The sequence below is a fragment of the Homo sapiens genome, chromosome 16, assembly GCF_000001405.40.
Source record: "Homo sapiens chromosome 16, GRCh38.p14 Primary Assembly".
In the NCBI taxonomy this organism is placed as follows: Eukaryota; Metazoa; Chordata; class Mammalia; order Primates; family Hominidae; genus Homo; species Homo sapiens.
Genome location: NC_000016.10, coordinates 15,743,857 through 15,756,905, shown reverse-complemented (window position 1 = coordinate 15,756,905; position 13,049 = coordinate 15,743,857). Strand labels below are relative to the sequence as shown.

Sequence of the window (13,049 nt, the reverse complement as noted above, 5' to 3'; positions counted from 1 at the left end):
AATGGCGTGAACCCAGGAAGCGGAGCTTGCAGTGAGTCGAGATCGCGCCACTGCACCGTCTGCCTGGGCGACAAGGCAAAACTCTGTCTCAAAAAAAAAAAAAAAAAAAAAAGAGTTATGAACTCTTCATGATGTTGCCTGCGTGTTGCCCACTAGGGGGCGGCAGCAAACATTATGTTCTGCCTTCCATCCCTGTTACTGGTCCATTGGGCACAGGGTAATTTGAAGGTAGATTTGGAAGCATGGGGGTCATAAACTCATCTTTATATGTGGGCAAATACAGTATCAGATCTCGGCGGATGCCCATGCGTTGTGTATAGTTGGCCAGCTCTTCATGGAATGCCTGAGGTTGGGTGTTCTCTCTGATTCAAGCCCTACTTGTCTCCCACAGAACAACCCTCCAGGTGTGCTGGCCCTGCTGGACGAGGAATGCTGGTTCCCCAAAGCCACGGACAAGTCTTTCGTGGAGAAGCTGTGCACGGAGCAGGGCAGCCACCCCAAGTTCCAGAAGCCCAAGCAGCTCAAGGACAAGACTGAGTTCTCCATCATCCATTATGCTGGGAAGGTACCAGCCACAGGGCCCAGGGGACTCTGTCTCAGGGGACCCCCAGTGGCTGCTCAGCGCAGAGACAGTCTGAGAGTGGCAGAACCTTGGGCTGCCTGGAAACTGCAAAGCCATCTGCTGCTAAGCGAATCCCAACCAAGTCCTATTCGTAATTTGTCTACGCATCTGTAAGGCATCAGCTGTAGCCACTCTCATGTTTTCCAACCGTGACGTCCAGACAGTTATTTCTTTCTGTTTTTGTTGGAGACAGGGTCTCGCTTTGTCGCCCAGGCTGGAGTGCAGTGGTGCGATCATAGCTCACTACAGCCTCAACCTCCTGGGCTCACACGATCCTCCTGCCTCAGCTTCCCAAGTAGCTGGGACTACAGGTGTACACCACCATGCCCAGCTAAAATCTTTTTTCCTTTTTGAGATGGAATTTTGCTCTTGTCATCCAGGCTGGAGTGCAATGGCGTGATCTCTGCTAACTGCAACCTCTCCCTCCGGGTTCAAGAGATTCTCCTGCCTCAGCCTCCCAAATAGCTGGGATTACAGGCACCTGCCACCACACCCAGCTAATTTTTGTATTTTTAGTAGAGAAGGGTTTCGCCATGTTGGCCAGGCTGGTCTCAAACTCCTGACCTCAGGTGATCCACCCGCCTCGGCCTCCCAAGGTGCTAGGATTACAGGCATGAGCCACCGTGCCTGGCCGCCCAGCTAAATTTTTAAATTATGTATAGATATGGGGTCTTGCTGTGTTGCCCAGGCTGGTCTTGAATTCCTGGGCTCAAGAGATCTCCCTGCCTCGGCTTCCTGAAGTGCTGGGATTATGAGCACGAGCCACTGTACCTGGCCTCAGCCTGCTTTTCTTGTATAGACTCTAAATCCTTCCTGCTACAAGTTATACCCAACAGGCGGGGCCAACTGGAATGGGGTGACTAATACATCCACACCTGGCTTCAACAAAAATCTCCCATGTCACGGTCTTGAGTTTGCTATTGCCAGCCTGCTCTGGCCAGGGAAATCTATGATAGTTGTATTCATCATCATCATCATCATCATCAACATGCCTTGGCTGTTATTGTATAGGCCCTTGCCCTGTGGCTCTCAAGAGTCCTGGATAATGTACAAAGGACATAGCTTAGTCTGGCTTGCAGAATTGTAGTATTCTATTGACTCCTCAGTACCTCCACTGCATCATGGGCACAAACAATGCTCTCTACCAGGGCCTGGCAACAGAGTCCGATCTGGCCCACAGCTTGTTATTGTAAATAAAGTTTTATTGGAACACAGCCATGCCCATTTGTATGCATAATGTCTATGGCTGGCTGCTTTTGTATACTACAGTGCTAGAGTTGAGTAGCTGCGACAAAGACTGTATGACTTGGCTGGGTGTGGTGGCTCACGCCTGTAACCCCAGCACCAAGGCAGGTGGATTACTTGAGGTCAGCAGTTTGAGACCAGCCTGGCCAACATGGCGAAAGCCCGTCTCTGCTAAAAATAAAAAATAAAAAAAATTTAAAAATTAGCCAGCTGTGAGATTACAGGCACACAACTGTAACCTCAGCTACTCAGGAGGCTGAGGCAAGAGAACTGCTTGACCCAGGAAGTTGGAGGTTGCAGTGAGCTGAGACTGCACCACTGCACTCCAGACTGGGCAACAGAGAACCACTCTGTCTCAAAAACCAAAACAAACAAACAAACAAAACATTGTATGACTTGCCAAGCCAAAAATATCTACTATCTGGGCCTTCACCAAAAGTTTCCCAACTCCTAGCCTATATTCAAGGGGGTATATGTTCCTTTAAGCATATAGAGACAACACTTTTCTTTTCCCTACTTCATCAGTGGATTTTTTTTATTATTATTTTCAGTCTTCTCTCAGATCAAGCCTACCTATTATCCTGATAACCCACATCCCATGATAACCCAGCAAAGCTGTATTATCAGTTCCTTTCATTTAATATTCACCATAGTAAAAATTACGGCTTTGGGCATTGTCATTGTTTGAGTCAGGAATGTAAAAAGCCTATATGTCCTTTTTCTGTATATCCATATATCAGGATCTCTGAGTTACAAATTATGCTCATTAGAGAGTGGAAAATAGGATGCCATGCTTAATTAATTTATTTATTTAATTATTTTGAGACAGAGTCTCACTCTGTCACCCAGGCTGGAGTTCAGTGGCGCAATCTCAGCTCACTGCAATCTCCGCCTCCCAGGCTGAAGCGATTCTCCTGCCTCAGCCTCCCGAGTAGCTGGCATTACAGGTGTGCACCACCATGCCTGGCTAATTTTTTTTTTTTTTTTGTATTTTTAGTAGACATGGGGTTTCACCATGTTGGTCAGGTTGGTCTTGAACGCCTGACCTCAAATGATCCACCCACCTTGGCCTTCCACAGTGCTGGGATTACCAGTGTGAACCACCACGCTTGGCTGCCATGCTTAATTTCTAAACCAGGATGATTGGGAAGATGATGAGGGGGGAGTTTTGCATGTCGGCAGGAGGGCATCTGCCGTCATGAAATCTCTTAATAGTGTATAACTCACAGGTACTGTGCTGGCTTAGGAGGAGGGAGGCTACCACAGCAGCGTTAGTAGGAGAATATGGAATGGAAACTAGGCTTTCCCAGCAATGGCTATCACTGGCTGATGTCCTACTACGTGGGCACAGGTCCCTGGGCTGTTGGTCTCTTCACTGGTGTTTGTGGAGTCCCATCATGGTGGTCATAAACGTCATTTCCTCTCTGACCTCAGAAGATCTGGAAGGACAATGGGAGGGCTGGGGTCCTGGCCTTGGTTTCTAAGTTTCTAGTTTCCCAGGGGTTCTGACCAGCAGGGTGTCCTTGGCAGGTGGACTATAATGCGAGTGCCTGGCTGACCAAGAATATGGACCCGCTGAATGACAACGTGACTTCCCTGCTCAATGCCTCCTCCGACAAGTTTGTGGCCGACCTGTGGAAGGACGGTAAGGCCTTCTCTGCTCGGGTCCATGTTCTGCTTTGAGCTGGAGAATTGAACACCCAAGTCCCCCGACTCTCACACCTGCCCCAGGAGGGGAGGCCTTTACATGGGGGCAGGGGAAGGAAGAGCATTGGCATGGGCTGGTGATGTCTCGTTGAAACAATTTCTTCCTGAGTGGGGGTCCCTGAGCCCCTCAATCCTACATGTCCCGAGGGGATTGAGGTCCTGAGGTCAGGGCTCAGGCAATAGAGGAGAAACAGCATGCCAGGCACGGGGAGTTAGACTGCCCTGTCCAGAGTCAGAAGGACTTCACTGTATCTTGTCTCTGCCACCTCCTAGCTCTGTGGTCTTGGATGAGTCACTTGATGTCATTAAGCTTCATTGTCCTCATTAGTAAAACAGGAGATGCAATAATAGTTGCCGTCTCTACTAGAGGTATTATGAGGGTTAAATTAGACCAGTGATGCTCAAACTCAAGCAGGCATCATGACCCCCTGGAAGGCTTTGTTTATTTATTTAGGGACAGAGTCTTGCTTTGTCACCCAGGCTGGAGGGCGGTGGTGCAATCTTGGCTCACTGCAGCCTCCACCTTCTGGGTTCCAGTGATTTTCCTGCCTCAGCCTCCCAAGTAGCTAGCATTACAGGCACACACCACCATACCTGGCTAATTTTTGTATTTTTAGTAGAGACGGGGTTCCCCCATGTTGGCCAGGCTGGTCTCAAACTCCTGACCTCAGGTGATCCGCCCACCTCAGCCTCAAAAAGTGCTGGGATTACAGGTGTGAGCCACTGCACCTGGCCCTCTTTGGAGGGCTTTTTAAAACCCAGATGGCTGGGCCTACCCTAAGATCTAATTCTGCAGGTCTGGGGCCAGGGATGGGGCGGGCCTGAAAACATTCATCCCAGGTGATGCTGCTGGTCTAGGGACCACACTCCGGCTCCCTTTGAGAACCAGTGAATAGATGATCCCTGTGAAGAGCTGCTGGAGTGATGATGAGGGGAGGGGGTTTGCTGTTTGTCCCTGGCCATCAGTGTCCACAGCAGGTTTTATTCTTGGCACAGGGCCCATGGGCCTGGGGCTTACAGGACTGGTCTCCCCTTGTTTTAAGCATGCTAAAAAAAGGGCTCCAGGAGGGGCCAGCTGTGCCCTAACCATATGCCAGGCTCTGGGCCTAGGGAACAACATCGCACCCTGGGTCTGTGTCATCCCAGGACACATGATGAAGCCTGTAGTCCCTCCTCTGCGGGACCCACAGTCTTGTGGGAGAGATGAGACTCTCAAAGACAAGCAGAGAGACAAGCATGAGGCTGCGCATGGTGGCTCACACCTGTAATCTCAGCACTTTGGGAGGCTGAGGCAGGAGGATCAGTTGAGGTCAAGAGTTCGAGACCAGTCTGGCCAACGTGGCGAAACCCCATCTCTACTAAAAATACAAAAACTAACTGGGCGTGGTGGTGGTAATCCCAGCTACTCGGGAGGCTGAGGCAGGAGAACTGCTTGAACCTGGGAGGCGCAGGTTGCAGTGAGCTGAGATTGTGCCATTGGACTCCAGCCTGGGCAAAAGAGCAAGACTCTGTCTTGAAAAAATAAAACTAAAAATAAAAAATAAAAACAAAATTAGCCGGGTGTGCTGGTGGGTGCCTGTAATCCCAGCTACTCAGGAGGCTAAGGCAGGAGAATCACCTGAACCTGGGTGGTGAAGGTTGCAGTGAGCCAAGATCGTGCCACTGCTCTCCAGCTGGGCGACAGAGTGAGAGCTTGTCTCAAAAAAAAAAAAAAAAAAAAAAGATTGTTACACAGAATCTGAGTAGAAGGTGAAGAAATGGTGCCATCCATGGCCTGTGGGTTGGGCTTGGCATGTGCAGGACCTGCTGGGCTGGTAGAAAAAGAACCTTGGAGGTGATGATGATGATGATGATGATGATGATGATGATGGCCGGGCGCGGTAGCTCACGCCTGTAATCCCAGCACATTGGGAGGCCAAGGCAGGGGAATCACCTGAGGTCAGGAGTTCGAGACCAGCCTGACCAACATGGAGAAACTCTGTCTCTACTAAAAATATAAAAAAAATGAGCCGGGCGTGGTGGCGCATGCCTGTAATCCCAGCTACTGGGAGGCTGAGGCGGGAGAATTGCTGGAACCCGGGAGGCGGACGTTGTGGTGAGCCGAGATCACGCCATTGCACTCCAGCCTGGCCAACAAGAGTGAAACTCCGTCTCAATAAAATAAAATAATGATAATAATAATAATAATAATAATAATAATAATAATAATAATACCTACTTTTTGTTGAGCACTTACTGATGTGCCAGGCTATCTCGGAGTGTGTGCTGTATCTTCTGCCTCAGAATATTTCTTCCGTGGATACCTACATGGTTACCCACTCATTTCTTGCTGGTTTCTGCTCAAATATCAACTTAGCAGAGCCCACCACCTCCTTGTCTAAGAGAGCACCCTCTTCACTCTCTCTCCGCTTTACCCTATTTTTATTTTTCTACGCACACCTCACTACTCAAGATATTCCATACTTAACATCTGTGATCTCTGTCTGTCTCCTTCCCTGTGATATAAGCGGGGTGAGGGGGCCGGGTCTTTTTTTGTTCACAGCAGTGTCCCCAGGGCCTGGAGCACAGAAGGTCCTCAATAACTATTTGTTGGTGGATGAAAGATTGGAGGCTGGCAGGGAATAAGTGCCTTCTGTGCCTTATTTTTTTTTACCCCTGCCCTAGAAGGTAGACGGTATTATTACCTCCCTTTTGTAGAAAGGGAGACTGAGGCACAGGATAGTGCCAAGCCAAGGCTAGTCAGTGAGTGGACAGCGAGAGCAGGCTTGACTCCTAGGTCAGCGTGACTCCATCACAGGGAATTTGTTCTTTCTGCCACTCAGGTGCTCTCAGGATTTCCCCAATAGACAATACTTGGAAACCCTGACTGCCGAAGGAGGCGTTGGTGATGGAAGGAAAGATTGGAGTGGGCAGGTTGGTGGGTGGGGCTGGGGCTGAGCCTCTGGCCTATTTAGGGGTGGGTGGGCCAGAGGCTGATGCCACCCTGGCTGTGCCCCATAGTGGACCGCATCGTGGGCCTGGACCAGATGGCCAAGATGACGGAGAGCTCGCTGCCCAGCGCCTCCAAGACCAAGAAGGGCATGTTCCGCACAGTGGGGCAGCTGTACAAGGAGCAGCTGGGCAAGCTGATGACCACGCTACGCAACACCACGCCCAACTTCGTGCGCTGCATCATCCCCAACCACGAGAAGAGGGTGAGGCCCGCCGCCCAGACCCTGGGGCTCCCAGAAGCCAGGGCTGTCCCAAGCGGTCACAGCGTCCCCAGGGCGCCCTCTGCCCCCACCTACCCCGAGGACCCCATTTTCCATGTGGGGAAGGCTATCTGAATCTCAGACCCATTCCCCATCCCTGGAGGAAAAGGAGGAAGGGAGGATGCATCCAGAGACTTTTCAGTTGTGGAGTTGCTGTGCAGGTCATCCAGCCACTCATTCATTCATTATCCCAGGAAGTATTCACTGGGCTCTGCCCTGTCCTGGGTGCTGGGGAGCAGTGTTAGAAAAATTGTAGCCCTTCCCTGTGGGTTTCTCATAATCTGGTGCAGGCATCTTCAGCTTGGGGCGATTGTGTCCTCTATATGGACATGCTACAGACATTTTTGGTTGTCACAACCAGGAGGGGGCTGTTAGTCAGCATCTAGTGGGTAGGGGCCAGGGATGCCCTAAGCATTGTACAATGCACAGGATGGTCCCTCAACCCCCAGCACAGAATCCCTACAAGATGCCAGTAGTGCTGAGGTTATGGGAGACACGGGGAGAGGTAAACATACAGCTGATGATGGTGATGGAATGTGGTCAGTTAGGAGAACACCAAAGAGCCAGGGCTCCTCCCACAGCCTCAGGACTCAGAGAAAGCTTCTGGTGAACTTGAACGTTAAGAATGTGTGGCCATCAACTTGGTGACATGGAAGGCAGGGTGGGGCCTAGGATAAGCAGGGGGCCTAGGATAAGCAGAGGGCCCAGGCTAAGCAAGAGTGTGGAGGTGAGAAGTGAAGGAACTAGGTAAGAAAATGCTAGATAGTGTCCAGGCGTGTTGCTCACGCCTGTAATCCCAGCTACTCAGGAGGCTGAGAAACAAAAATCTGTTGAACCCAGGAGGCGGAGGTTGCAGTGAGCTGAGATTGCACCACAGCATTCCAGCCTGGGCAGCAGAGCGAGACTCCATCTTAAAAAAAAAAAAAAAAAAGGAAAGAAAATGCTAAATAGGTCATTTCATGTTGCAAATGTGTGATGGCATGAGGTAGGAATCAGATGGTGTGAGGTAGGATTGAGGCTGAATGGGTAGGCAGGGGCTAGATCGTGGTGCTCCTTGTGTTCTTTCTGGAGCTTGGCCTTCTCTCTCTAGGCATGCCATTGGGGGTGTTAAAGCAGGGCTATATCATGGTCAGATTTACATTTTAGGAAGTGAATGAGGGGGCTGGGCATATGCTAGCTCATGCCTATAATCCCAACACTTTGGGAGGTTGAGGTGGGAGGATCACTTGAGACCAGGTGTTCAAGGCTAGCCTGGGCAACATAGCAAGACCCTATATCTACAAAAACATTTTTAAAAATTTTCCAGGCATGGTAGCACATACCTGTGGTCCCAAATACTTGGGAGGCTGATTTGGGAGGATCACTTGAGCCCAGGAGTTTGAGGCTGCAGTGAGCCATGATCGCACCACTGGACTCCAGCCTGGCTGACAGAATGGGACCCTATCTCAAAAAATAAAAAGGACAAAGGGATTGAGGGGAGAGGCAAGACCAGAGAGAGAGACCAGGTGGGTGGTTTCTGTGGTTGTCCAGGCAGGAGAAGATAGTGGAGACAATGGTGGTGAAGAGAAGTGGGGGGGTTGGGAGATATTTGGGAGCTAGAAGCAATCAAACTGCTGATGGACAGGAAGTGAGGGAGACGAGGTGATGAGGAGGAAGCCCCAGGTTCCAGCCAGGCGATGCTAGTGTCACCAAGAACCAGAGAGATCATGAGGCAGCCATTGCCGAAGCAAAGAGATGAAAACCCAGAGGGGGGCACTGCTTTGCCCCTCGGCCCTCAGCTAAGCCCTCCTTGGGTGCTTCTGTTGGTACCCTCATGGCCTGGCCAGGTGGGTCATCCAGGTAGGAGGTTTGGGGCTTTGCTGCGCCATGGTTTCTGGCCCCAGGGATCCACTGCCCTCTTTGACCTTTGCAGTCCGGCAAGCTGGATGCGTTCCTGGTGCTGGAGCAGCTGCGGTGCAATGGGGTGCTGGAAGGCATTCGCATCTGCCGGCAGGGCTTCCCCAACCGGATCGTCTTCCAGGAGTTCCGCCAACGGTAAGTCCCAAGGTCTGGCCCAGGTAGGGCAGGGGGTGAGCGGGACTGGGTGGAGGAATGGATGCTGGAGGTACCCGGGGTGACTTCTGCTCTGTGTTTCAAGCTACGAGATCCTGGCGGCGAATGCCATCCCCAAAGGCTTCATGGACGGGAAGCAGGCCTGCATTCTCATGGTGAGCCCAGAAGTCCACCAGAGACCTCCCAACCTCTGGCCGCAAGCCACCTGCTGCTCTTGGTGGGACCGTTCTTACCCATGTCATCACTGGCCAAATGGCACAGTGGAAATCAGGAGCTCTTCCTTTCCTTCCTTTTGCAGATCAAAGCCCTGGAACTTGACCCCAACTTATACAGGATAGGGCAGAGCAAAATCTTCTTCCGAACTGGCGTCCTGGCCCACCTAGAGGAGGAGCGAGATTTGAAGATCACCGATGTCATCATGGCCTTCCAGGCGATGTGTCGTGGCTACTTGGCCAGAAAGTAAAGATGCTTTCCTGCATCCTAATACCTCAAACGCGAATCACAAACAGGGGCCTTTCTGTTCTGATTCCCTGATTCTAAGAGGCCACCTGTTTAAGATGCATCATTGACTGAATGACAGCCTTTTCTTGAAGGGGAAGAAATGCTTCTACTTTAAATAAATGTACCAAGTTACGAGTGCAGGAAGGGAACGAGTTTTAGACCTGGGTTCTCATCGTGGATGCCCCAGTTTTTGCTGATGAACCTTGGGCAAGTTACTCTACCTCTCTGAGCTTCCAGTTTTTTAGCTGGAAACTGAGCATAATCATTTTGACCTCAGAGAGCTGTTCATGAGGTGTCACTAAGATAACGCATGACGAGAGCTTAGAACAGTGCGTGGTTCTCAGGTCAGAAATGATTGTTGTTGTTTTTACCTCCCTCCCTCACTCCTTCCTTCCCTCCCTCCCTTCCTTCCTTCCTTTCTTCTTCCTTTTTGAGACAGAGTCTCTCTCTCTCTCTCTGTCGCCCAGGCTGGAGTGCAGTGGCGCAGTCTCAACTCACTGCAACCTCTGCCTCTTGGACTCAAGCAATTCTCGTGTCTGAGCCTCCCGAGTGGCTGGAATTAGAGGCGCCCACCACCACACTGGCCTAATTTTTGTATTTTTAGTAGAGACAAAGTTTCACCATGTTGGCCAGGCTGGTCTCAAATTCCTGGTCTCAAGTGATCCACCTGCCTTGGCCTCCCAAAGTGCTGGGATTATAGGCATGACCCACTGCGCCCAGCCTAGACATGTTAGAATTGGATAAACCATTGAGGAAAGAGGACTTGACGGTGTCTAGATCCCCGTGTCCCAGTGGGATTTATAAGGCAGGGTTTTGGAGGGTGTGATGTCCCAGCTGTTCTGTGAAGACTGGGAGCCGGGGAAGGGTTCGGGTTCCTTAATGAAAGTCATACCCCAGGGACTGCAGGGACAGGTGGGGTCGCTCTCTGTCTGGGGTGTGTGTTGTCATTGGGCAGAGACCACACCCTCACCAGTAGGACCCTGATGTGTCAGGTTCATTCATTGACACATGGACCCAAGATGGTCAAGGCCAGCTTTGGGAGCTCTTGGCCCTCCCGCAACAGACCTAACTTGTCAAGTTTCGTTACTAAGTTCCCTGTTGCTGTCCTTCCTGGATAACTGGGGCAATTTTATTCTTAAAGTTTTCCTGTGTCCAAGATGGCAGCCAAGCAGGGAAGACAGAATTACGTTCACTGTTCTATCGTTTCTCAATCTATCGATAGCCCTTAAACGGGAAGAGTGCTGGTTCAGGGTCACAGTGTGAAATTCCTAAAACAACCCAGGAGAGAATAGGTTTGACAGGGCTGGGTGTGGTAGCTGACACCTGTAATCCCAGGCACTTTGGGAGGCCGAGGCAGGAGGATTGCTTGAGCCCAGGAGTTTGAGACCAGCCTGGGCAACATGGCGAGACCCCTATCTCTACCAAAAAAAAAAAACTTTAAAAATTAGCTGGGCATGGTAGCATGTGCCCGTAGTCCCAACTACTTGGGAGGCTGAGGCAGGAGGATCATTTAAGCCCAGGAATTTGAGGCTGCAGTGAGCCATCATCACACCACTGCACTCCAGCCTGGGCCGCAGAGCCAGACCCTGTCTCTGAAAATAAACAAATAAATAAATAAGTTAGTCAGAAACAGCTGGTGTAGGCTGGGCATGGTGGCTCCTACCTGTAATCCCAGCACTTTGGGAGGCCAAGGTGGGTGGATCACCTGAGGTCAGGAGTTTGAGACCCACCTGGCCAACATGGGAAACCCCATCTCTACTAAAAATACAAAAATTAGCCAGGCATGGTTGTGGGCACCTGTAATCCAAGCTACTCAGGAGGCTGAAGCAGGAGAATCACTTGAACCCCGGAGGTGGAGTTTGCAGTGAGCTGAGATCGTGCCACCGCACTCCAGCCTGGGCAACAAGAGCGAAACTCTATCTCAAAAAAAAAAAAAAAAAAAAAAGAAAGAAAGAAAAAAGAAACAGCTAGTGCAGCTGGGGAGTACGGGAGCCCCCTTAGGAATGATGCACATAGTTGTGTTTTCTGAGTGGTGTTTGGATCTCAGCTAAGTCCAGGGCATGTTGTGAGCCCTGGGTCTTCCTTGTCCACTGAAAAAGGCTCTGTCCTGTAGATGATTTAAGTTGTTTGCAGCCAGACAACACATGTGTCACACAGGGTTTCTGGAAGAACCTGAGTTGGGGAGATTGGGGCATGTCCCTGTGCAGGTTCAGGATGCTGCAGGGCAGGGCTCTGTTGACAGCAGGGTGTGGCTTCATGACCCCCGCACCTTCTCTTCCCCCCTCCCTAGGGCTTTTGCCAAGAGGCAGCAGCAGCTGACCGCCATGAAGGTGATTCAGAGGAACTGCGCCGCCTACCTCAAGCTGCGGAACTGGCAGTGGTGGAGGCTTTTCACCAAAGTGAGTGCTCTGCCCCAGCCCCCTTCCCAGGGGCCCCCAGCCCTGCTTCTTCACTCTGGAGCCTTCACATTTGGGACAGGAGGTGGTCGCAAGTGGGTGTGGAATGGAGGGCTCGAACTCAGACCTTGAGCATTGGCGGTTCTCTGGCCCGAGGAGGCCCTGTCCTTTGGCACATAGGCTATAGCCAGGACCTTAACACAAAGTATTAATATTTCCATCCGCACTGGAATCCCTCGTGTGGCCCATTTATAGCCACACCCACTTCCTCCGTAGCCATGGAAACCACTCTGTTCTCCAGTTCTGTAATTTTGATGGTTCAAGAATGCTGCCGGGGGCGGCGGCTCACGCCTGTAATCCCAGCACTTTGGGAGGCCGAGGCAGGCGGATCACTTGCGGTCAGGAGTTCAAAACCAGCCTGGCCAACATGGCAAAACCCTGTCTCTACTTAAAATACAAAAATTAGCTGGGTATGGTGGCAGGCACCTGTAATCCCAGATACTCAGGAGGCTAAGGCAGGAGAATCTCTTGAACTCAGGAGACAGAGGTTGCAGTGAGCCAAGATCATGCCTGCACTCCAGCCTGGGTGAAAGATTGAGACTCTGTCTCTTCTTTCTTTTTTTTTTTATTTAAAAAAAAGGCCAGGCACGGTGGCTCACGGCTGTAATCCCAGCACTTTGGGAGGCCGAGGCGGGTGGATCACAAAGTCAAGAAATCAAGACCATCCTGGCCAAGATGGTGAAACCCTGTCTCTACTAAATGTACAAAAATTAGCTGGGCGTGGTGGCAAACGCCTGTAGTCACAGCTACTCAGGAGGCTGAGGCAAGAGAATCACTTGAACCTGGGAGGCAGAGGTTGCAGAGAGCTGAGATCGCGCCACTGTACTGCACTCCAGCCTGGTGACAGAGCGAGACTCCGTCTCAAAAAAAAATAAAACAAATATTCTATACATGGAATTAGAGAGCATCCAGACTGTTGCATGTATCAATACTGCAGGTTTTTTTTTTTTTACTTTTTGCATTTTTTGAAATGGAGTCTCACTCTGTTACCCAGGCTGGTCTTGAACTCCTGACCTCAAGCAACCCTCCTGCTTCAGGCTCCCAAAGTGCTGGGATTACAGGCATGAGCCACCTCATCTGGCCATAGCATATTATTTTTTATTTCTGGCAGAGTCAGGGCCTCCAGAGGACTCAACTGGTTCCTGTAGTGGCACTGGTTGCATTGTCCCCATGGCACAAAGACATGCTCTGTTGCAATAGACTAGGCTTCTCCTT

General features: G+C 50.8%; 1 protein-coding gene across 4 annotated transcripts in view; it reads left to right on the top strand.

Annotated features, from left to right (window-relative positions):
* Window positions 1-13,049, top strand: part of MYH11 (myosin heavy chain 11) — a 153,894-nt gene that overhangs the window by 100,123 nt on the left and 40,722 nt on the right. For all 4 annotated transcript variants that reach the window (NM_002474.3, NM_022844.3, NM_001040114.2 and 1 more), the window contains 7 exons: window positions 392-565; window positions 3,398-3,512; window positions 6,575-6,768; window positions 8,738-8,859; window positions 8,963-9,032; window positions 9,176-9,336; window positions 11,669-11,777. In NM_002474.3, the coding sequence (NP_002465.1) occupies window positions 392-565; window positions 3,398-3,512; window positions 6,575-6,768; window positions 8,738-8,859; window positions 8,963-9,032; window positions 9,176-9,336; window positions 11,669-11,777 (945 nt within the window). The remainder of the gene's footprint in view (window positions 1-391; window positions 566-3,397; window positions 3,513-6,574; window positions 6,769-8,737; window positions 8,860-8,962; window positions 9,033-9,175; window positions 9,337-11,668; window positions 11,778-13,049) is intronic.